Genomic DNA, 27,368 nt, shown 5'->3' with positions numbered 1-27,368 from the left:
TTCTCATGTATGAGGACTAATGTCATGTTTATCTTTCTCAAGAGGCAGAACTGTACAAACAAGCAAAAAAGAACATTGTATATGACCAGTATTGTTTTGTGAGGACATACCCTTGAGCCTTGCAACTTTTGGAATTTCTCTCTTGAGAGACCAGCAGAATTACTTAAAATATATATACTCCCATCTTATCATTAATATACATCACAATAATTTGTTTTCATTCAGTATAGAATATTCTCTTCATTTTTAGTTGTCAAGCAGCTGCATTTATTAACTATACTCTGTCATCTCCTGTGCATAGTTGTACTTTTAATTCATTTTAAAAAATAGCTTGTGTTCACTCAAGAAATATCATCATCTAACCCACTCCTTTTTATCTTGTTTGTTCCTTAAAATTGTATATTAATTACATTTTGTCTTTAACTAAACACCAAATTAGAAAGAGGGCAGTTGACATTGTAAAGGTGATAGCCACTTAATATATATTTAAATGAGATGGAAGTTGGAAATTTTTCAGTCCTTTTTTATAGTTTGGAAAGAACATTAAATTGAAATATGCCTATATCACCCATAAATAAGCATACTTAATTGTGTTATGGACACATAGTTATGTTGTAGATTTTTATGTAATTGATAAACAGTAAAGAAAAGGGCCATAAAACATTGAAATAGTAACAAATCCCAATATTTTAGTCCGATTTTCTTTTCTTTTCCACTCCTAAGCAAACAGATAGGCATGTAGGTATTCCACCAGAGATATAAATATTAACTTCTTTCTGGAAAACATAGTAGAAGTTAGCTTTTAATAGAAGGAAATCTAGATGCTGATATTTCTTAAACTATGGTACTGTCTTTATATTCTACTCAAGAAGACCTGTTTCACTGAATGCCATGGAAGGGTACCTTTAGAATTTATCATTTAGGTGAGTGACCCCTAAAAATCTGAGATGGTTCTTCAACTAAGTTATCAGATCTTCATCATTCTGTCTACATAATCACAGTAGTGTTCTAACTGGACCCCCTGCCACCAAATCCCAGCCCACTAAGTCACCTTCCACATTTCTACCAAATAAAAAATGAAATAGTATTTTCCTCCTCAGCTTCACAACCCTCTATTTCTCCCGTCAGTCATAGTATAATCTCAAATGCCTTAGCATTGTACAAATTAGCTCCTAAAAAACTCTACAGATTCCACTCGTTTCTTGCCTCACACCTCCTTTCTCCTCACTTATTCAATAAATATTTCCTAACTGTCCAGTAGGTGTTAGCATGAGTGACAAGCCAAAGATAAATGAACTTCAGTCCTGTCATCGACAGCTTACAGTGCACTGTTCATTTAGAAGACAATTCAAGCATCACCTCTGGAAACAAGTCCTTATCTTCAGTTAACCTTGATCTTTCTTTCACTATCCTGAAATTTTAGAACAGTTTATGCACATTTATTTCATTTATTTCTGGGCTTCTTGTGCAGAAGTTACTTTTAAAGTTATTAACTTATTTAATAAATATATATTCAGCATTAATTATATGTTAGTGAATGGTCATTGGCAAAAGCTACTTTGGATTCCTGTGGGCATTCCCTAAGGACATGAATCTCCTATTTCTGTCAACATGTCCATACATTGCATTATGTTCAGTGTTGTTGGGTTTCTGTTCTCCAGCCAGGTATCAGCTACCTCCACCACTGTGCCAGCTTCTTTCCCTGTAGAGCTTTGAAGAAACAGTGCCAACTCAGCTCTTTACATATAAAAGAGTTAGCAGTGGTGCTGTGCCTATGGTTGTTTGCAGGCCTTCTTTTTTTCCACCTATTCTTACAACACAAATCATTACTTATCTTGCCTGTGTAGATAAGTGGCTACTTGTAGACATGAAATACCACCTGTATTCTGAATTTTCTATTATCAGTGTGCAGATGTTTTTAGAAGAATGCACACTTTTTTAGATTCAGGATTTTAACATCAATAAGAATCGTGTCATTTTAAGACTAGAATGAAACTTACACTTAGAACAGTGAAGTCTAGACCTTCCAATAGCTCTACTCAAGGTCACACAAGTCAGGTGAAATATTCAGAGCACAGAAAAGTTGAAGGTATGGGACAGTGTTTTAATTTCTATCTAAAACAACATGCAAGATTTTAAAAGCTATCAATGTTGTTTACACAAGGAGTAAATTAATTATTCCTCTTCCAGTGGGTTTTTAAAGTGTTACCTTCAGAAAAAAAAAAAAAAAAGCAAATGCCCATGTTTTTACCCTACTCTGCTCCTTTGAAAATAAAAGCAATATGCTGCTTGCAGAGATAGGGAACTTCTTTTTAGCTCAGTCATGGTGGGGCAATTCAGAAATATAAAGATGCTACCTTTGTAGCATTTTTTTTATGCAGTGTAACCTAAAGTGGTGCTGGCTACTTTTACCTATATAAGAAATGAGAGTGCAATTCAAGCCACGAAATGTAGACTGCCCAGGAAAATATATTTAACCCACTGATTGATCTCTGCTTCACTTTGTGCTCTGCAGACTTTAGAGTTTACAGTTCCTGTGGCAAACAACACTGTTTTAAATTTAAAGAATAACTGAATTGCACTGCAAACAAATTGAGGAGCAGCTTAAGGAATAAAGATTTCATTCTGGGGAGAATGGTAGTATTATGACTTTTAATTCAATGAGTGGTGGAATGAATTTTGGATTTGTTATTACATTTTCCAGGATGAATTTAATAAATATTTTGAAAATTATGAGAGCTATATAATTTTTAAAATGCCATGAATAACAATTCTTTTGTCTTGTATTGCAACCTTTTCTCTAATTACTACTTAATATTTAATGCTCCCATCTTAAAATATATGTCTCACTTGGCTTAACAAATGGTTTCCTTAAATGATTAGCTAAATTTATTTTGCTTACCTTTAAAAAAATACATATTTTTTTTTCTCCAGTCACTTCCTAATCTTAGTATTTCAATTCAGTTTCAGTTGACAAATTTTTATTTGATACCTAGCTTATTTCAGTATCCAAAATAAGACAAACGCCCTTTCTTCAGTGATTTGAAATTTCTCTCTCATTCCTAGCTTTCCATAGCAGTATGTTTTGAGATGGCTATGAGTGTGTATATTAATATATTGTTTTCCTATAACAGCAGTTACCATTTAAATTTAAAAAACAAAACAAAACATATATATGTTTCTATGTGTGATTGTGTGTATGTATGCACAAACATATATATATATATATATATATGCATATATGGCAAAGAGAGAGAGAGAGAATGATTGAAGCATATTTTTACCACAAATTGTACATTAGATTTATTTTGGGCCACCTGATTCTGTATCAAGGCATATTGGATGACATGTATCACTTTCATGGCACTCATAAACTGAGCCCTTTAAACTGAATACATGATAAATTCCTTCTCTAAGACTTCTATGGTATAAGCTACCTTCAAGTTGTTCATTTATTTATGAAGGTTTAGGTTTGGTTCTCTGAATTGGGGGAAAAATTGCAATTCATGATACCAAGAAATGAGCATAGACTTCTTGCCATGCAACATTGAGTTTGTGAATCTAACCTGAATATATAATGTACTTTTTTAAAATTCATTGGCAAGTTCCTCTTTTATGAAATCACTGAAGCTCAAGGCTCTATTTGATACACTTGTTGACACTTGGGTGCCTTAAAAATGTACCTGTTCACTGAAGAAAATGATAAAACAGACAGAGCATTTGTAGAGTTTAACAGTATTTGAAACCTTCTCGTTACATTATGCAACTTTCATTAGGAACATTCAAGACATCCACATGAAGAATATATTTGTAATTGCATAGCTTGTCAGTAGGCAGTACATATGCAGAACGTAAAATTTTAAATAGTTGTTGATCACTTAGTGTAGCACAATTCTCTTGAAATTGTGGTTACTATTGGACGTTATTTTCCTTTTTATCATTTTACAGGAGGCAGTTTATTTTATATTACAGCATTAGACTAAAAAGAATTAATCAGTAACAGAGCACTGTTAAAATAAGGGACAATATTGGTAGTATATTACATGCTGTTTTCCACTAATGCTCTTAGTGAAACTTAAAGCTGTCATTTGAGCTTATTTTCTAAAAGGACTGAAAAACAAAAACTCTACAGGACTTATTTTATCATTGTATCTTTTCCTAATGGTAAGGTGCTGGGTTGGGATAAAGACATACAGCTGGGAAAACTGCCTTGGCATGCTCTACTCTATATCAACGGATTGATGAACTGAGAAGCTAGTCCCAATTCTCCATGATAGCAGTTTCTATGCTTATCATACAGATTCTATTTCCTAGCATGTGATAGCCATAGTCTCTAAGGCAATGTTGTAGGTGGGATGATTTTGCCCAGATTTTTTTTTTTTTTTGAGATGACTCCATCTCTGTCACCAAGCTGGAGTGCAGTGGCATGATCTTGGCTCACTGCAACCTCTGCCTCCCAGGTTCAAGTGATTCTCCTAACTCAGCCTCCCAAGTAGCTGAGACTACAGGCTTGTGCCACCACATCTAGCTAATTTTTGTATTTTTAGTATAGATGGGGTTTCACCATGTTGGCCAGGCTTGTCTCGAACTCCTGACCTTAGGTGATCCACCCAACTCGGCCTCCTAAAGTGCTGAGATTACAGGCATGAGCCATCACACCTGGCCTTGCCCAGATTTTTACAAAACCTCTAGCTGTCCTATCCATTTATGGCTGTCGTTTCCCCAGGAATTCTTATTTATTCTGGAGATCTAGTAGAGAATGTGATCTAATTATAAGGTCAAAGGGTGACTTCTTTTTGCCGTGAGAGTGAAGAAGAAATGGAGTGCCATGAGACGGACCAATAGTCCACATTGATCTCTCAGATTAATGGTAACTCAGGCTTAGTCTATCATGCTTGCCATTCATCCGCAGAGTTTGAGAGGCAAGTAAATCATTTCACTGGGGAAATATATTCTCTTTTGGATTAGCACTTTGAAGAACAGATACGTGAATTTTAGACAGTGATTAAATATTAGCAATTTTTTAATATCAAATAATGTAAACAGGCACATTTAGATATATGTGCTTGAAGATATCTCTGTTCAGTTTCTGTCTTTGTCTCTCACTCTCTCTGACTGCAAAAGATCGGTGACTATGAAAAGAAAAATAATTTTGTGTGTGTGTGTCTATGTGGTACCATTTTCTTCAAGAAAAGAAAACATTAAAGAGATAACATTCTAGGAGAAAATGTATAAAATTCTAATCACAGCCTTTTAAAATACTTTTTTTAGTTGAGGCAAAATCACTGTCTGGAATAGAACTTTCATGATGGAAGTCATTGACTTATTTTTTGAGTCCTCATGAAACTGGAAGATTAGCGTTTAGGAAGCCAAAGCAGATCAATATGGCTCTTCTTATCTGATATTACATTTAGACCCCTCTAGCTCATCAAGGCACTTGAAGTCCCTTTACCAGCTAAGTTTTAGCCAGCTGAGAGCAGACATAAACATCCAGTTTTAAGCCTTTTTTGGTACCCTGTGTTCATATCTACGGGAAATCCCATTGAAATGAATTTATATACCATTAAAGTTTATTTATATACCATTAAAGTTATGTACAAATCTCAAAATTCCATCTCTGAAGGTCCTGAAAAATTAAACCGTGTTTGAGAATTATTATAGCTTCAAATTGTCACCCTTATTCCTGACTCAGAACTTGACTTGTGCATAATGGCAGAACATATTTGTTGATGCATTTTTAGAAATTGCTTTTCATGAACCAGTTCCCATCTGCAGCCAATATAAGGAAACAGGTCACATTTTTTTCAAAGTTCTTTCACATTAGTTTCAGTCATTTTAAAACATAGTTTGGAAAATGAAGAAAAGTGAATATTGGAGAATAGAAAATGATAAATGGCCCCATAAAGATATTTTTAAACACATTATAAACATTAGGACTAGATGCTAAGATTTGAAATCGTGAATTTCTAAATCCAATGATTTTATTCATAAAATAAGGAAAATTTACTTTGTGCATGATTCTTGGTTACTACAATGATTTTACAAATGCATGTTTAGTAGTGGGAAGAAATATGATTAAGGAAAACACATGGACAGAAGAAATGAGATTGGACACACAATCTAAAATAAAATGTTGCATAATAATTTATTTTGAAATAATTTAAGACAAAATATGGTTAATTTAAGCTGAATATTTATGTTGGTCATTATTAGTTTTGTTTCTTGGAAATATGATCTGAATATGTATGGACCTACTGTGTACATATTCTGAGGGGGCTACATTTTTACATATTTGTGAGAATGGCTCTATTTTTTTCCAAGAGACTTGCCTGACCACATTTGTGAAAATACATATTGGTTAACAGAATTTTGAAATAAGTACTCATGATATCCAATAATATAAATAACAGCGTCATATGAAATGAACATTTTTACCCTCAAAATACAATGAACTCTTGTAACTTCTAATTATATTTTGTGCATATTAAATCGCATCACTTGGATCACAGGCATGAACATTTTTCTTTCAATTCTTGAACAAAACAAATTTTTAACTGTAAACTATAAACTTCTCAAAGTTAAAAATAAACCCTATAAATTTTCAAAGCCACCACATCTACCCATTACATATTACTGAAAAATCCTGTGAAGTGTTTGAGGAGGCTTCTAGAAGGAAAAAAATCTTGGTAAAAATCATAAATACTTCATTGACCATGTTTGAACTTTGGAAAAAGTCACTGTGAAATCTATATTAATCCAATAAATGAAAAAAACTAAAATCAGTTCACTGAAATTATTATCCTATGTACACGAATTCTATTTCCAGTGAGTAGGGAGTATAATTCTTATGAGTGTAAACATTGTCATACATCTTACAGTTTCATAAATATAAATGATATATTCTCCATTCCTTTTAGTCTGGAAGAGTTCATTATATTGGAAAACACAATTATTAAGGGAAATATATCTTTACTTTGAGTGGTCATGGATAAAATTTGAGACAACTATAAATTAGTGAAATCAATCTGATAGAATACTCATTGAAAATATGTTTGCAATAATCACCCTCTCTCAAGATACGTATTCCAAGGGATTTGACTGACATCCAAATAATAACAAGCTGACTTTTAAAAACTGCCGAATATTAGCTTGGGAGAAAGAGATCTATCTAAATCTATTTAATTTATTGAATTATTTATTCATCAAATAATCATGCAACCATGCACCAGCACATAGTAGGCTCTGGAGACTGAGGTGTAAATGGAACAGGATGCTGTGTTTGAGAAGCTCCTGGTCAAAAATCACAAAAGTAATAACTGCAGTAAAAATGTTTTTGTCAGTGTCTTAGTCCATTTATGTTGCTATATAGGAATATCTGAGGCTGGGTAATTTATAAAGAAAATGTTCTGCAGGCTGTACAAGAAGCATGACGCCAGCTTCTGTTTCTGGTGAGGGCCTCATAGAGCCTCATGACAGAAGGCGAAGGCAACAGGGAGTCAGTATCACAGGGCAAGAGGAAGGAAGGATGAGACGGAGAAAGGAGGAAGGTGCTGGACTTTTTTTTTTTTTTTTTTTACCACCAGATCATGTGGGAAATAAGAGTAAGAATTTACTCAATGTGATGAGAATGGCACCAAGCCGTTCATGGGGGATCTGCCTTTTTGACCCAAACTCCTCTCACCAGGCCCCACCTCCAACAATGGGGACCAAGTTTCAATATGAGGTTTGGAGGGCACAAATATCCAACTATATCAGAGAGTAAACCTACTTGAGAAGCCCAAGAGGAGAAAGGCACAAGCTCTTTGTAATTTTATGGGAAATTTCACACTGCACATAACTTTTGAGATACATTTGAAGGAAGTGTAGAAATCAATCAAAAGGTGGACACTGTTGCTTACTAGGTTGGCTAGACAGTCTTCTAATAGATAATGGCTCACAGTCAGGAGAGGAACAATAATTAAGAAGATGCTTTGAATCTGAGTTTTTTATTTGTTGGTTGTGCTTTTAAAGAAATATGTTCATGAAGACCATTTCTCAAAACTGGTATATTATCCTTAGAGTGTAGAAGAGTAAATGGTTATTGTAATGCTGAGAACTAATTACAGGCTTGATTTTTTTGTGTCTCAGAGGTCAGTAAATTGACAACTTGTGATTTTTCTTGGTAGAACATAAAAACCTTAAGAATTATTTTAAAATACAAGTATAACTATCTTGCCATTACTACATGAATTGAAACACTGAGAAACTATGACATCATATAGCAAATTGACTTTAAGTAAAAATGTAATAATGGCCTATTTTTTAGTTCTCTGTCTGGTATTTTGCTCCCAACAAATTAATATTAATAATAAAGGCTGTTGCCATGTAACACATGCTCAGTGATGTTGAAGAGCACCCAATTTTGTTAATTCAGAATTGAATTAAATAGCCCTTCCTGCCAATCACTATATGAATATTTCTATGGACCCCATAACTTTTGGAATGCATTTGCAAAGTAGAGACTATAGTATAAATACTCTATAACAGATTAATATAATTAATAATTGCAAAAATATTTCTACTATTAGTAAGACTATGCTGTGTGAAATAAGTAAATAAATCATTGTTTTAAAATTACATTTAGTAAGTACTTCTTATATTCTTTGACAATAAAAAACATTCATCCACCTAAACTTAATTCACCAGTTCAACCCCCATCCAAAAAAGTCATGTTCATTGCATGTTAGTCAGGGGACTCTATAGGGTGGAGTGTAGTAGAATACAAAAGAAGGAGTCAAAGATACAGTATTTGACTTTCAAACAATAAAACACCAAAAAGCAAACTTAAGTAATGGAGAGGGGAATTCATTTCACAGGATTTTATATTGAGATAGAAGACTGAAGGTCAGTATCATAAAATAATAGTGAATTATAAGTTTTAGAGACAAATTGCATAATGGCATAGTATTATTGTTGAACAGTGCAAGACACAGTACTGTTTTGAACTAACGGATAATATGCAACATCACTGCAAAAATATTTGTGTATTTATAAGAGAAGAACCTATGGACCATTAAATTAATGTATTACCAACATTTTTTACTCTAGCTAAAAGATACTTTTTCTTCCCTTTTTTTTTTTTTATCAGATACGTTTCTTAAAACAAAATAGGAAATACAGTTGTAACTGTGTTCTTTTGCTACGTTAAACACAAATACATGCCTGTCCACCGAAGGCTTTTACATTCTATGGTTTCTCTCAAGATTGACATATTATTCCCCAGAGTTCTCAACCTGATTTTGGTTTCAATTAAACCCTACTAGAAAGGCAATATTTGAAATCGCTGTTAGAATTCAGATGTAAATAGACCCATTTAACTCTTATTACAATGACAGTTGATTGCCTTTTTGTAAACTTACTGTTAGAATCTTCTACAAATCCATAACCATTTTAGCACAGCTATAAATTTAAATTATATAATAAGAAGGAATAATGAAAAAATACAAAAGTTCCGGGAGGCTATTGAAAATATCATCTTAAGTCTGATTAGTTATTTCCATTACATCCATCGACACCTTATTTAGATAATCTAAACACTCTGGTTAATTTGTGGGGCTGGAATGGGAAAAGGGGGCATTTTATGAGTCAATAATTGAGTTAATAGTCTTGAAGTCCTGTTATTTGGGGAGGATAGGGCGGGCTAGACGGAGGCATGAGAAAAAATTACAAAGGGGATTTAATTTATATGTATTAGTTTTTTACCTTTTCTGATATCCAGTGCACATATTCTTCATTTTTCATGACCCACAAAATATGCTCATTTATCATTCTTTGTACTATACATACAGATTTAATGTTAGATTTTATGAAGTTTTAAAACAGGGTACTTAACTAGTAATCAAGGTAAGTACATAACAATTGAATATTATTCAGTGCTAAGAAAGAAGAAAATTCTGTCATTTGCAACAACATGAATATACCTGGAGGACATTATGCTAGATGAAATAATCCAGAGAGAGAAAGAAAACACTGCATGATCTCCCTATATATGAAATCTTAAAAAAAAATGTCAAATACATAGAGAATAAAGCAGTGATTACCAGGGGTTGGGGTAGGAGGAAATGTGAAGAAATGAGAGATGTGGAACAAAAGGTATAAAGTGGCAGATATGGGCCGGGCGCCATGGCTCACACCTGCAATCCCAGCACTTTGGGAGACCGAGGCAGGCGGATCACTTGAGGTCAGGAGTTCAAGACCAGCCTGGCCAACATGGTGAAACCCTGTCTCTACTAAAAATACAAAAAAAAATTATCTGGGAGTGGTGGCAGGTGCCTGTAATCCCAGCTACTCGGGAGGCTGAGGCAGGAAGATCACCGGTGCCCGAGAGGTGGAGGTTGTATTGAGCCAAGATTGTGCCACTGCACTCCAGCCTGAGTGTCAGAGTGAAACTCCACCTCAAATAAGTAAATAAATAAGTAAAATTAAAATGGCAGATATGTAGGTTGAATAAATCTAAAGATCTAAGGTACAACGTGAGGACTACAGTTACAGTATTGTATTACATACTAGAAATTACCTAAGAAATAGATTTTTGGTGCTCTTACTCCACACATATACAAAAGGGTAATTATGCAAGAGACTGGATATGTTAGTTGGCTAAAATAACTATGTCATTATGTGTAAGTGTATCAAGCATTATATTTTACACTTTAAATATGTGCAATAATTTTTTTTCTGATAGAACAACAAAAACAGTTTAACATTCATCATAATATTCCTCTCTTTTTAAATTTGCAATGAATTTTTTGTAAACCCTAATACATTTAACATTCCACATTTTCATCATACAGTCTTCTAAAGCTAAGGTTACTCTCTGGAACTATAATCAAATTCCAATAGAATTCATCTATAAAATTGGATGTATTCAACCTTTAACAATATGTAATAAAATTATATTTCTAAGACCAAAAACCAACAAAGTGTATAAATATGTGAAAACTAAAGATCAACTATTTATAATGTCCATACTGGATGCACAAATAGGAAATTCTTTATTTGTATAATGACTAATATGTTAATTATTTATATAAAATTTCATGTTGTCGAAATTACCATTTATACTTTGACTAGTTATTTCTACTTAAATACAGTGATGCAGTTTAGATTTTTAATGTGAAATCTAAGTCCTCAGAAACAAACATATTTAAGAAAAAAGGACTAGGGCACATATATTTAATGATGTTCACGAATCACCTATTATCATAAATAAATAACCAATTAACACATTTTACTATAAATATTAGTTTTTGAAAAGTTATTGCTCCTCTCTGCTAGAAGATTAGCTTGCTAAGGAAATGTGGTGCCTGGATTATTTCTGTCTAGAAATGTTTTACACTATTTGTGGTGATATTAATATAGTGTATTGTGTATGAGAAAAATGAGAGTATAGAAAATTAGAATGATTGTAAGAAATTCCCAGAAAGTGGAAAGACTGATTTTAGCTCATCAATGAAACATAGCAAAGGATTTGTATATGTTATTTTATTTGTATTGAAAACCATGATTACAATGTATTTTTGTTATTTTGGCTGAGATCTAGATGTGTAATGTCCTAGAATTGCAGCTGGAGTAACTAGGTAGCATTCAAATACTTGGAAAACAATTACAACCAATTAGCAAGTTGACTTTGATGAGCACTACCCTTGAAAATGACATTGTACCTTCCCCAGGAGGAGATACGTTTCTGAGCATTTTGAATGAAACATGAACACCAAGCACTCAATTTTTCTTAGAAGAAAGGTAATGAGATACAGTTCTTTAAAACCAATGTTATGAGAGTAAAATATGTACGAAGAAGGAGTCAAAAGACCCTTCCTCTTATACGTTGGTGAAGCACTCATACGGAGGCATGCCATTTTTTGTGCTCATTGCATCTCCTTTTTCTTAGATAAATGTTCACAGTGTAATTTCCCTTCTATTCAGACAGTGTTGTTGATCATCAGAAAATAATGCCTGATAATACTCAAGTGAACTATATTGTGCTTTGTAAATATATGGTACATTTTCCTCCATATTCAAAATAATCTTCTGTTTGTTTGTTTTTGTTTGTTTTGAGACAAAGTCTCGCTCTATTGCTCAGGCTGGAGTGAAATGGCATGTTCTTGGCTCACTGCAACCTCCACCTCCCAAGTTTAAGGGATTTGCCTCAGCCTCCCGAATAGCTGGGATTACAGACATGCGCCACCACGCCTGGCTGATTTTTTGTATTTTTAGTAGTGACAGAGTTTCACCATGTTGGCCAGGCTAGTCTTGACCTCCTGACCTCAAGTGATCCACCTGCCTCGGCCTTCCAAAGTGCTAGGATTACAGGCGTGAGCCACCGCGCCTGGCCACAAAATAATTAAGAATATTTTGTAATCCTTAGATCATATTACAGCTTGTCTTTGAGTTATAGAAAAATCAGAAATCCTCACTATTAAACTGTACCTGTCTGATAAATGTTCACTTCATCTCTAAAAATTAATTTGTTCCTAAAAATAAAAAGTAGTTTACTAACTGATCAAGTGAGAAGTTCATAAAATTTCATTCAAACATGATTATAATTGCTACAACAGCCATGTTCTATGTCTTTGTTTCTATTTTAAGTTTTTTAGTAGCTAGGACAATAGCAATTGGTAATTCCCTTCTTATTTCAAATAGGACACTTTTTTTTTTTCACTCAACTTAGCAGCTATATTTTCTGAGTAACCACCAACCCTGCCATTCTTGACATTAATAGACATCCTGTTTCTAGGTCTCATCAGATATCTTTCCTTACCCATGGGCTAGGTGGCCTATTCTTGCTAATTAGATTCACTTCAAACAATTTGACTTATCAGTACACATTGGATTTGAATTAGGGTCATTTTCAAAAAAGTACATTTGTTTTCATGATGAATTTAGAAGATGAAAAGTTTAGCAAGTAATAGATTTCCTGAGTAAGAGTTCACTTTTAAGCATAGCTGTAAAAGGAAAGATTATACTACTTTTCCTCTATTCATCTACCCTTTTTCATCTTTATATAACAACTTCTTTGTAGAATAAATCATTGGAACGTCTAACCTGTACTCTTTACACAATAATCTATGCCAAGTCACAGGTTTTCTTTTTTTTTTTCTTTCAATAATTCTACTCTTACACATCCCTTATCACATTGAGCTTGCCCTTGGTATAGATGGCAAAGTGCTAAGTGAGGATTTAATTATAGCCATTTAGAGTCAACTTAAAAACTCCTGTCTAATTTACTGCAGTTCTAAAGTAGAGCCAGGGTGAGAGTTGGAAAGTTTTAAAACTACTCATACATAAGATGCTTACAGGGAAGTCTATACAGTTTGAAATTCTTTTCAAGGAGAAATGAAAGAATCAGGAGAATTTTTTGTAATAAAAATCATTTGAAAAGACCTAGTTTAAAATTTTGACTGCTTTTCATTGCCTTCGCCTTTGTTTGCTTTACTGACTGGCTGTATGCTTATTTTTTCTAAGATCGCCAACCAAGACTTTTGCTATGCTTATGATTTAGGGCACATTTGTTGTTGTTGTTGTATTTTGTTTCTATGTTTCAGAGAACGCTGTTTTAATTTACAAAAAGCCAATATTGTTTATTTTTAGTACTAAAAGTAAGCCTTACACAGTGTAACAAGAATAAAATTGTTTTGAATTATTTGTAACCTCTATGGAAGCTACTAAGGGGCTACTTATACACATAAGTTTTACTATTTGAGCACAGTCATACATTTTAATAAAATCAAAGATTATGTCACTATAAAATGAGGAAATGGATGCTCCACATACTTGTCCAGCATGGTTCTTTTACTTTTAAATCCTAAAGATCTATTATTTTTCATAATGAATTCAAAACTCTTTATAAGATGTAATTTTGTCACCTGTGGAAAAGAAAGTTGAAGCCCTGATTGAAGCTTAAGGAATACAAAATAATTTCTGAGAGACTGTTGCCAAAATGATGGTCTCAGAGGGAGAAGTGCATCTAACTCCTAGTTTTGAAATATAATTTCAAACTCTCTTCTTCAAAGAAAACTATTTTTTTGACAAGAGTAAAGATGGGGTAACTAGATTGTTTTGCAAGCATGTTTACATTGATAGAAACACTTTTTTTGTGTGTCTCTTACTGAAAGTTGACACGCGTATTACTTCAACTTAATCAGAGTTAAATTTTGGGTCCTAAAGAAAAAAACAGATTACATCATATCTTACAGACCATGGAGGGAAATGTGATTTTCTCTCTTTAAACAACCAAGATCTGGCTGGCGCGGTGGCTCACGCCTGTAATCCCAGCACTCTGGGAGGCCGAGGCGGGTGGATCACGAGGTCAGGAGATCGAGACCATCCTGGCTAACACGGTGAAACCCCGTCTCCACTAAAAATACAAAAAATTAGCCGGGCGTGGTGGCGGGCGCCTGTAGTCCCAGTTACTCAGGAGGCTGAGGCAGGAGAATGGCGTGAACCCGGGAGGCGGAGCTTGCAGTGAGCCGAGATGACGCCACTGCACTCCAGCCTGGGCAACAGAGCAAGACTCTGTCTCAAAAAAAAAAAAAAAAAAAAAAAAAGGACAAGATCTATTCTCTATTTTTTTTTCTTCCGGCATTATGTGTAATCTACTATACTCATTACAATGTCAATTCACCATGGAGTTTCGTCTTGTTTTTGTCTTATCACTTCACAAGTTCCTCAGATTGCTTTCAGTTCTTTCAGTGTGAACGCTTAAGGAAATCCATGAACTAGGAAAAGAATATGTAATATCTTTAGATGCCATTGGTATTGACAGCAGTTTTAAAGTTTATTTCTTGAAATCCCAAACATAGCTATTATTTTACCTAGTTTGACTGTCTTATTATCCTAGTGTTAGGAAGCTAATTATCATGTCTATTTAAAAAACACAATATATTTCTCAGGATTAAAATCTATATCGCTGCCACCAAATTGCTTATGATCAGAGAGCCAGTTTGCTCTCAGAGAGGTTATATACTTTTTCTATATGCTACATATTAATTCCTGATATCAACTGTATGTTTGAATGACTGTTGATTTAACTAGGTCCATATATATTCTAAGTGAAATATATATATATTCTACGTGAAATTCTTGGAATTATCTTTCTTCTTCTCTATCTAAAAATTGACAACCTAATTTTGGGGTTTTATTTGTTTGTTTGTTTTGAGGCACAGGCCATTTGCCCCAACTAGTTATTCAGAATGCTTTTTTTGTTTTTTTTAAATCAGAGTCAAAGGTAGTTGTATTTTTTAAGAAATAATTCTGGAAAGCTGATTGCCTGAATTTGATTTATTTATATATACAGGCAAAAATATAATTCAGACACAGTATTTTAAACTTTTTATCGTTTAAACACGGCACTCAAACTACTAAGATACTATGCCGAGTTCTGACTTGATTGCCAGGGTAATACAAATGAATGCCAGGGTAATACAGCACTATAGATACCCTGCCTCTTTGGCTCAGAGCTTTGTAAGCATTACCTTGGTCTGTGGTGTCCTGCAGAATCTCCTCTCAGCCTTTGTTTCATTTATTTATGCAGAATTGGTGTCATACAAAGAAACTGTCATGTGTAATTCTTGCATCTCAGCATAACTATGCATTTTTCCTTGCCACTCAAGAAATAACCCCAGAACACAGTGATGGAAAGTAATGAGTGACGTGACACTAATTTATATTTATAAAAATATATAATACTTAAAGCCTTTGGTCCTTTAATTTTAATATTAGTAACACATTCCTTGCAATATCAATAAAAATTTGTATACTCCAGTGTCACACTGCTATTGAAAGCAATCATATTTTCACTCCGAAAAACCTGTTTGTAAGTTGCACTCAGCTGTCCACCCCTTCTCACATCCTCTTGTGATGTGCAGCACACATGGTAGGACAGATGGCCGGAGAGAGGTGTATTACCTATGCCCATGCAGCAGTTTCTCTGTGCATCTTTTCCATTAGCATATGACTCTTCTGCCCTTATTTCTTCATCTGCTAGTGTTAAGCGAAGTAGTCACATCTGCTGTACAGATTGTTGGGATACTTCCTGCTAAACAATTAGGTAGGGATTGCCTATACAGTGGAAAATTCTAAGTGTCTGTTGCTGCATAGTTTCCCTTGAGAGACAAAGGCCAGATATTGACAGCTTGAAGGTGACTTGCTTGGTGAACTGTGTCATCTTTCTAATTCAGCAGCAAACTCCAGGTTCACAGAATTGAATGACCTACACTCTTTTCCTTATTTGCTAGATGTCTAAAAATCCTAACCTTACATATCACTCTTAGCTATGAGTGAGACAATAAAACTTAGTTCTAGTCCTTTTATGTGTAAACATTCAACAGCTTAATTTATAGGTAGTTATAATAAGTTCTAAGAGCTACAATTAGTCTTTCTAGATCTTTCCTATGTAATAACATTTAATGAATACTTATTTACAAGAATAACTATGATAATGATACACAAGAGCATTTCCTAACCACACAAGGACTCAGGTCTAGGTGAAGAAATTCTAGAATCATTCTACAATCATAGGTCTTCAGTGCAGCTCCTAAAAACAGGTTTTCAGGTTTCTCATTTAATTTTAAAAAATGCAGTCTTTACGATGACTTTCTTGTAGTGTCTGATGAGGTCTGTGTGAAAATTTACAGTTAAACACATACACACACAGAGAGATTATTCATTGTCCCAATCTCAGAAGGACTGTTTTACAGAGAGTATATCTTTGGATACAAAAAAAAAGCACTTACCCATCTCCAGTTAAGGAGCTAACAACTGTAAAATGAACTCAGGATGGATTACTTCTCACAAAACCTAGGGCTTGGGCAAGCTGGTATAAAATATTATTACATCTTTGAAAGGTTGAATGAAAATAATTCCAGCACAGTTCATGTGATTAAATCTATTTTCATTTGAACACACAGATTGCACTTCTCTTCATCCTCAGGGCTTTTCGGCAAAGTTATTTCTATGATCAACCCTTTAAAGAGGAATAGAAAAATGTAACCTAGAGTCTCATTTTGAATAAATTTTCCTTTCTCTCCACCATTTAAATGTTTTCCAAGTAGATTTTAATCTATTACACCAATTAACAGAATGATACATTTAGGATCAGCTTGTAACAGAATTGGAACTATTACTGAAATGTTGACTTTGAAAATCTTGTGACAGTGACTACACCTAAAAATACAGACAGAAAGAAACATTAGGAAAAGAAAAGAGAATACCAGGCAGAAAAATTAAGGTGAAAGAATGACGGACATATAGATAACACAGGGTTGACAGCAAGAATTTTATCAGTTAGCTCTAAATTGCACAAATTTGAAGGAAAGAGACAGATGCAATTTTCTGTGTGCTTTCAAAATATTTCTTAGCACATGCTAAGTCACATTTGTTTGTTCCCGCAAGTGCTCACTCTCCCTGCTTTTTTCTTCAGAAGAAAAATATTTTTCTGGTTAATTCCTTCCAAGTCCTTTCATATTATTGACTCCAGCAGACTCTGGGATGCATCAGTGGACAGCCAACCAAGTGGTTAACTTATATATTGAGTTATGCATACACTTTGCTTTTTGCATGTAAATTCAGCATATCTTTTTTTTTCTTTTAAGAATGAAAATATTTCTAGAGTAAAACTATCTTGATTTGGTTTTGGTTTGTGTTTTCATATCCCAAAACATTCCTACCATGGTTGCTGAACCAGCAAGAGCAGTATCACCTGGGAACTTGTTAGAAATGCAACTTCTTGAGCCTCGTCCCAGACCTCCTGAATCAGAAACTCAGGGCGGGGACTGGCAGTCTGGGTTTTAACAAGCCCCCCAGGTGCTTCTGATCCTTCTAAGATTTGAGAACAACTGGCCTCAAATATGTTCAATGTACAATGAGCTGTACAGAGTGGGTGGCTACTAAATATGACATGACTGACTGTCCCACTTCGGTCCATGTGCATGCAAAACTAACAATTCTGGCCCAATTATATTTTCTTCACAGATATGGTGATTTCTTACAAATGACAATATGACCACACCAAAACACAAATTCTCTCCGTACCTATTACATTCTGTGCAGGGCATCTTGGTTAAGCCGGTTTCTAGTGTTGTCAGCACAGATTTTTTTATTATTTTGCTACTATTAATAATTTAGTATAACAGAAGGCCATATTACTGATGCTATCATCCCAGATAAATGGTTATTTCATTTTTGAATAAAGCAGGAATAACAAAAAACATTTCAATTTAAACATGTAAATGTACAGCCATTTGCCCATCTTTTTTAATGTATTGCCAGAATTGTCTTTTGGCAGTAGTCTCCTTAATGAAGTTCTACTTTTCTTGCCTAATAGTAGTATAATTCATTCATTTTCATAATCTTCTACATAGATCTAGCATTTAAAGATACATGTAAAGAAGTTTTGATACACTCTTCTCTGAATTTTTATGATATTTCCCTTCAACTGTCACACATTTTATCCACAAATAATTGAAAAATACTTGTATTTTTTCTTTTGTTTGGGTAACTTGTTTTCATTTTGCCTTTTAAAAGAAAGCATCTTAGTTTTCATGAAAAAAAGTCATCTGTTTTACTTTGACTTTTTAAAGTCAAAGTCAATATTAATGATGCATAAAACTTTAATGAAATTACATTATTATAAGGAGAACAACTGCAAAAAAAGATCATATTAATTATATGAAACAAGAACAATTTCAATTTTAAGATCAATTTCGAGAACAAACAAAAATACTTAACTCAGGCAGGCAGCCCAGTTGGTGAGAGTTGAGGAACAGGAGCTAACTTACTTCACTTCAGCATTCAGTGTGTGAAAGGTTTTAGTCTTTAGACTTCAGACTACAAAAGACACCCTCAGTTTATCTAGTGAGTTGTTTAAAGGCAAAGGTGACAGTTTAGTGACCCTCCACTGTATTATGATATGGGTTAAGGTGCTAGGTTCTCTCACTCAACTCTGTTTAATTCCTTCTATTTTTGGTAGTGGTAAATCTGGGGGCACGGAATTTTCTCTCCACATTTCTGTGTGAATGATTCTCATCTTGGGTAGGAAACTTTGAATTGTTTAACTTCATGGGAGTCAGTTATAAGGATGAGCTGCCTTTATTGGTGTTTTCTGGTTGTTTGTAAGTTGAACATCTGTTTCTTATTAGATGCACTGTACTCACAGAGGAGAACTGAAGCCTATTTTTTTGTTGTTGTTTTTTGCTTTAATTATCTCGTGAAGCACTTTGACCCTAATGGAAGCTCAACTTGTACTATGGAATAATGGAGTAGTTGAGGGGAAATACATTCTTGAGGGGGAATATATCCTCTTGGCTCAGATATAATGATTTTATACTGTATAAAGTAATACACTTATTCAGGTCATATTTCATCTTAAATAATAGTTAAATTCATGGTTATAAAATATCATCAATTTGTTATATGCACTTTCTTACTTCTGCCTGTAATTTAGAGTGTTTTCTAGCATGGCTACATTTACATTACCAGCCAGTAAGAAATATTACAAGATAATACTTAAAATTTTGTAAATCACAGTCACTAATTATTGAAGACACTCCTTTCTGTCACTTGTCCTGCTATTTCCTATTAAAGTTGCATTAAAGTATATAGGTATTACCTATAATGATTGAGAATGGAAGAGCAAATATACTACAAGTTTTTTTTTCTTATTACATTAACAAAAAACAAAGCAATAGCCTAGTTTTGAGGACGAGTAAAAAGTATATGAAATGAGTGAGTAAAAATAATATCACAAAAGATCTGATTCAATTGAAGGATAGGAAATAAAAAGTTTCCAGGTTGCTAAGTTTTACTAATTACAGATGACATGTGGGGTTACTTCTAAGAAATTTGGGGACAGAGTTAGAAATATTATCAGTAGGCACCTGAGTAATTATATGGAATTACAGAAAAATTGTCTTAACTTCATCTGTCGATGACTGGCAACTTTTGATAAAGTAACTATACTATTGGCAATGAAATTTATGTTATCGTTTAGTAGCATATTCGATATTTTAAGTAGAGTTAATCATGTATTAGACAGTACTCTATTAATCTCTGACTGGCCTTTAAATCTTCCTGAGTTATACTTAACAATTCATATCTGTTTACCTAAAACTGTCAACTGATTGAGTTCCTTTAGACAAATTCCTTCATTTTTCTGATCTGAATTGTCCTCAATGAGAACATTAGCTGTGATGATCTACTATTCCTTCAGCTCTAACAAACTCTGACCAGTCTGTCCTCAATGAAGAAATACATCTTGTTGCTCAACAAAGGAATATATTCTGTTTTATAGACATATACCCTGCAGTTAGTGACAGTTTAAGTTTAGAATGTGAAATACCCCTGAGCTGCGATCTTTCTGATAATCCACCTGGATGCATTTTGGGAGGTGGAAGTTTGATGGAGTGGCATTATGAAAAATGCTGATTCACAGCAGGCAGAGAGAAGTGACTGGAAATCCACCTACTATGTACTACTTGTGTGACTGGGGCAAATTTTATGACAACGTCCTCATTTAAAAAATGAAAATATAAGTCTATCTTCTTAAATTACTGTAAAAATTAAATTAAATTAAATAACGTGTAGAGTACCAAGCTCAGTGATAAAAATTGCTATTTCCTGTCTCCCCGGCTTCCTATGGGCTGCAATCTAAATGAACAAAAATTCTCTAATCAAATTTCTAAAAGTATTATCTTTTTAATTCCTCCTTCACGCTCATTTTTCCTATCTCCTCTTCATGTTCTGTCAAATTCGCATGTCCCTTGTTCTCTTCCCATTCCTTCCTCTCTAATGCTATATGGAGAACTTACCTGAAAGATCAACACTTAATAATAGCATGCAGCAAGGAGAAAATAAATATTGGATTTTACAGTTGAATTATATTCATATAAATATACAGACCTGGTAAGTGAGTTCAGATTTTTGAGTCTATATTATCTCCTTTGTTCTCAGCATTGATCACAATGCATTGTGCAATGTTCATAGCTAAAAATGGCATTTGCCCACCTTTGACAGTCTCTGGCAATCCCCTGCAGCAATTAACCTAGCAATTATCATTGTTTACACAAAACCCATCAAGGAGGTCGGCAGATGATAATAATATTTGCCTTTCTTGTACGCAAAACACTAATAAATGTATTTTTGAAATTCTGAATAATCCTATGATATAAGCAGGTATTACTGATAAATTGTTTTGAATCATTAAGTGACTTTTACAAGGTCTTATAAATAGAAGGTATCAGAAGCCAAGACTGGAAGTCTGGCCTTCTATAACACTGTGCTCATACCCACGGAGTGGGAACTATGAAAACCTTTGTTTGACAGGATCCAACAATTAATTTTATCCATTTGTTAAAATATTACTACCTACTCTTATATAGATCAAATTTTCTCTTCCTTATTTGTGTTGCTGTTTAATAGATCCTGGTCATTTTTAAAGGTCATTTCTGTTTGACATTCTCTCTCCACTATTCACTGTATTGAAGAAATAATTCTGATTAAATATACGAGTGTATCTGTGGTTCTTTCTTCATCTTTCATTTTTTCTTTCCTTTTCTTTTTTAATTAAAAAATTTAGTTGCAATAAAGCATATGTAACATAAAATTTACCACCTTAACAATTTTAAGTGTATATAGTTCAGTAGTGTTAAATATATTTACATTTTTGAACAACTAATCTCCAGAATATTTTCAGCTTGCAAAATTGAAACTCTACACCCATTAAACGACAATTTCCCATTTATTCACCCCCCAACCCGCCACCACTGGCAATCATCATTCTACTTTCTGTTTTTGTAAGTTTGTAAGTTGGATTACTCTGGATTTCACATAAATGAAATCACTTGGTATTTGTCTTTTTGTGTCTTATTTCATCTGGCATAACGTCCTTAAGGTTTATTCATCTGGTTTGTGTCAGAATTTCCTTCCCTGTTGTGGCTAAATAATATTTCATTATAAAATATACCATATTTATTAAGAGTTTATCCAATTATTGACTGATGACCTTTTCGATTGTTTTCACCTTTTGTCTATTGACAATAATGTTGCTATAACACTAATTTACAACTATGTCCATGAGATTCTGCTTTTAATTCTTTTGGATATGTATTATACTCAGAAGTGGTATTGCTAGATTGTGTAATAAGTTTATTTAGTTTTTTGTTTCTTGAAGAACCATCATAGTGTTGACCCTAACACTAGAGCCAGCCATCTATGTTACAAGGCACCCTAGGCACCAGGCTAAATTAGGGTCATCTAATATTCTCTGTTCTCTGGCTTACTCCTAATGTCCAATCAGTGATCATATTTTACATATTTCACCTCCTCAACATATTCTGATGCTATCATGCTTATAGATGAAATTGCTTCATACCCAGATCATTATATTTGTGTGCTTAGGGGCTTGTCTTGCCAATGGACATTCCCTTCTTCCAATATGCTTTTAAACTTATGACAAAGAATGTCTTTATAATGCCACTCTGATGCTGTTCTTCTGCTTGATATTTAAAAGCTTCTCCATTCATTGGCTACTATGCGATCAAGACTTGTTATAATTTTAACCTCTTACCCATCTAGCTTCTACCATTTCCCTTCACCAAGTCTGTCTTACTTTCAGAAATATATCCTTCACTTTTTACTTTCTGATCTTCTCGACTCTTTTTATATGATGTTCACCATCTGGAAATTTATAAAACATACTTACTCTCGCTCTCTCTCAGTTAAATCCTTTATGTCCTTTAGGCCGCAGATAGAATTCTGAAACCATCCCTGATTTCATGTTTTTTACAACCTTTCCAAAACTAGAACTCTGGTATCACTTTATTGATTTTTCTTCTATGGAATTTATCACTTTCTGTCATGTACTTTAGTTATTTATAGATCTTAATTTTTATACAAGATTTAGTTTCCAAACTACAACTTGAGGGCAGATGGTGCATGTGTTTTCATCTTTTCAACTTCTGTGGTGCATAACAGAGCACTCTGCACACAATTAGCAATCAGTACATATATTTGAGGGTAATGAATCAACAAATAAATTAACATAAGTATTAAGAAGTGGGAGGGAGTCTCTTCAGATTCTTAAAGATGGTGATAGCTTCATATTTGCTAAGCAGAGAAAAAACAAGGAGAAAGCTATTCAAGCAGGGCTTGTAGTTGAGCCTGAAGATCACAAATCTTTTAGGCAAACTCCTGCAGCTTTTCTCTGCAGGGAAGAGATCATGAGGGAAACAAACAAACCAAAAAGTTTGACTTCTGCAACAAAGCTCTGAGGAAAAAATGTAAGTAATGGCATAGGATTTTTCTTATTATCAAAAGTAGTGTTTCATTCGGCGTTTAGTATCCTGTTTGTTGTTCTTAGTTTATTAGCCTGGAAGCTAAAAATTAGCTCAATTTAAAATTAAGAGCTACTTTAATCTGTTAGGTTCTTTAAGTTATATCTCTATTTTATTTCATGGGCATTAAGAATTAAAGAAAAAAATAAATTTTAAGGAGTTTTGTTGTAGTTAGTTGGTGCAAAAGGACACATTATTTTGAACAAACAAGTTTTTCTCCAGAAATATTATAAAATATACCTCAATACATACCCCTCCAACAAAGGACAAAGCTTTAATTAATTGAACTAAAGATATATCCCTTGAAATACAAAGTCTTTCCTATACAGGCAGAGTATACAGAATGTCAAAAAGGTATGATTATAAATTATATCTTTCTTTGATCACACTAAGAATGTGTAATATCCAACCATCCAAGAAAATCTCAATATCATGTATTAAAGGCAGGTTAACTGGAAAGTCACCAAGCTAATTCCCTCACTTTTCCCATGTTGATTGACTTTTTTTCTGGGAGATGCTATTTTAACATTAATGACTTGAAAAAGATTAGGGAAAATGCGATCATGAAAGATTTTCTCAAATATAGAGAACAATTTTACCACCTTTGTGCTATTTTTGAACTCACAGTATTTCTTTTAAAAAAGCATCTTACATCATTAGGAAAGATGTTCTTATAATCAAAAGGGAACATTTATGATTTCCCTCAAAGCTCATTAAGTTTTAATCAGCTATGTCTGTGTCATTATCATTTCTAACTTTCTAATAAAGGCAGCAAAATATTGTTTTGAATTTACCCATGATGAGATGTTTAAAAAATATAGTTGAATAACATGACTTTAATTCTTAAATTCAAAGAAATGTTGACAGCTTTAAAAGAAAAATCATAATAGACACTAGGTAAAAATAGCAAGGAAGAGTTTATTCAAGACTATGGCAATAGGAGGCCAAAAGCAGTGGTTAATACTTGTAATCCCAGCATGTTGGGAGTCTGAGGCAGGTGGATTGTTTGAGCCCAGGAGTTTGAGACCAGGCTGGGCAAAATAGTGACACCTTGTCTCTACATAAATTTTTTGAAAAATTAACTGGGCATGATGGCATGTACCTGTAGTCCCAGCTACTCAAGAGGCTGATACGGGAGGATCCCTTGAGCCTGGGCATTCAAGGATAGAGCGAGACATGATCACACCACTGCACTCCAGTTGGGGCAACAGAAGGAAACCCTGTCTCAAAAAAAAAAAAAAATGAATACATAAATAAAAAAGAAAAGAAAAAACAAAACAAACAAAGAAACAAAACGATTATGGCAACAGAAGTCCAATTTATTGTAATGAGGGAGGAAGTTGAACACACTTTACCGAAACAAAAAGGGGTAAACAATGGGAAAGTACTGGAGAACTGTAGCAGGGAGGTCCATCTATGTAATTAGCCATCTGTATTTGCTAATTGGTGCTTATCCAAGTTAAGCTTCTACTCTCCCACAGAGACTGGGAGACAGGGACTCTATTTTTCTAGATTATTACATTTAAGAAGGATGGCTCCTAGGTCCTTGAGGAAGACATTCCTGATTTGTAGAAGATTTACATCTCAAAGGGGCAGAGCAAGTATTTAAAATCACATGTTTATTAAGGTAAAAGCTCAAAGAAAAGGAGGTCAGGGACCTAGAGTCAGTGTTGAGTGCAGTGAAGAGGAATGTTAAGGCCTTCTTGGGACCAGTGGATATTTGACTTAAAAAGCAATGATAGTTGCTTAGCAAAACGTACACATTTATTCTTCACTGTATTTTTCACTGGAGAAATTCTGACCCAATATATGTCAGAAATTCTTTCCAAAGAAAATACTTCCACTGCTTTCTGGGGAATGTTCATTTCTGACATTTTTGACAAAATATCATCCCAAAGGACTACTAATAGACAATTTTTAGGCCATACTGTCAACAATTTCCAGTAACAGTCTTTCAATCAAAAGTATTTTTTGCTGGCTCATTCCCAACCAGCCTTCACCATATACCATATTCACTTGCTAACTCAGAAAGAAGCACTGTTACTTTTAAGTTCAGTTACTTTTAAGTGTTTAACTTCATACCCTGTGACTAAAGAATCTCCCTCTATTCTTTGCCCCATTTTAGATTATTTAAGTAATAAGGAACATAAAATTACCTTCTTTTTCAAAAAATAAGTAGTAGTATACTTGCTGAGGTAGTGTGTTATTTTAAAGTCAAGAGATTATCAAGAGTGCAGGAATGCAGAGAACTCTTCTCTACATCAAGAAACTTGCATTTTACTAAAGAAAAGAGGAAAGAAGGAAGAGATCTTACATTTCCTTCTCACCAAGTCAAAATCCCATTTAAAAAGAAAAACTCATCTGATTCTAATGTTATGTCATAAACTAACTATAGGAAACAAAATTGTGTTAGTATAAGTGGTATATCAAAGTGATACAGAATTAACCTATAAATATTCCTGATTTATGCTAAATAAAGTGAATTAGCAAGTATAGTGCACAAGTTTAACCACATATTCTTCTCAGATAAGTGTCAAAGTATCTATGTAGTTGCAGTAAAGGGCACAGATGTTCACCCTTAAAAACACTTGTAATTAAGACACATTTAAGGGCAGATGCAGCCATTTCTAAAGACTAGCAAGTATACTTGTAAATCCAACAAACCAAAGAAAAATCTCTTTGAACTTTCTTAGTTTTATTTTAGCAAGAGAAACAAAAGAAGGGTCCTAATTAATATGGCTTGGCTGCATCTCCACACAACTCTCATCTTGAATTCCCATGTGTTGTAGGAGGAACCCGGTGTGGGGGTAGTTGAATCCTGGGGGCAGTTCTTTCCCATGCCGTTCTCATGATAGTGAATACGTCTCATGAGATTTGATGGTTTTATAAGGGAGAGTTTCCCTGCACAAGCTCTCTCTCTTTGCCTGCTGCCATCCATGTAAGACGTGACTTGCTCCTCCTTGGCTTCCAATTATAAGGCCTCCCAGCCATGTGGAACTCTAAGTCCATTAAACCTCTTTATTTTGTAAATTGCCCAGTCTTGGGTATGTTTTTATCAGCAGCATGAAAATGGACTAATACACTAATCATATAAATGTATGGTGGTTTAATTGATACAACATTTGCTCTCTAGCCATATATGTGTATATATAAATACACACACACACACATATATATATATACACGAATATACATATATATAAAATAGAATGTATTGAATGTAAATTCATAATATTTAATTTTTTTTCAGAAACTGGTTCTGAAATGTATAGGGAAGGTTATATCACTCTTATTTAATATAAAATTGGGGGTGTCACTTATTTTAGTAAGCCTAATAATTGAGCACTAAAAGGAATTAACAAATACCTACTTTAAGAGAGAGGAAAACTATCTTAAAATTTTGCATTAATAATATATTCAACAATTTAAAATTGTCTTTAAAATTCTGAAACACATTTTGGCTGTATCTCTTGGTAAAAGGAACACAAACTGGTGTACTTTCAAATTAATTTTTACATTAAAATTTTAACTCATTTAGTAATGTTAAAGACATTTAGAAAATGTTCACTCTCTGTTCTAGAAAAGTTAAATTTAATTTTTATCCTTAAAAATGCACTATTTTTCTTTCTTTTTTAAACTGAATTTTATTGATATGTACCTCACTTATTCTGGCTTCAAATATTTAGTTTGTCATTTACATTTTTTTATCAAAGTCCTCACTTAAATGTTCAATTTGTGTTTCAAAACTTATTTATATTTTGACCTTTTGATTGCACTTTAAAGAGATGAAAAATTTCTAGAAAATGTCTAAGGATTGCATGGAAGTTGCTTACAAAGAGGTTTAATTTTATGTGTTACATATGGAAGGTATCTTTTTCATTCTTTCTAATAAGCTTTACAGAGTTCCTAGAATTATTTTTTAAAGGCAAACTTCATCACATCCTCTTCAAAGATATTTCAATGGCTTTCCCTACTCATTTTAATATAGTCCAAACATCTGAGCAA

General features: G+C 33.7%; 1 protein-coding gene across 5 annotated transcripts in view; it reads left to right on the top strand.

Annotated features, from left to right (window-relative positions):
- PCDH9 (protocadherin 9) overlaps positions 1 to 27,368 on the top strand; it is a 927,503-nt gene that overhangs the window by 835,218 nt on the left and 64,917 nt on the right. The gene's annotated exons all lie outside the window — the stretch shown is intronic.

The sequence above is a fragment of the Homo sapiens genome, chromosome 13 (assembly GCF_000001405.40).
Source record: "Homo sapiens chromosome 13, GRCh38.p14 Primary Assembly".
Classification (NCBI taxonomy): Eukaryota; Metazoa; Chordata; class Mammalia; order Primates; family Hominidae; genus Homo; species Homo sapiens.
Note: the sequence above shows the minus strand (reverse complement) of the source record. Positions and strands in the feature narration are given on the sequence as shown.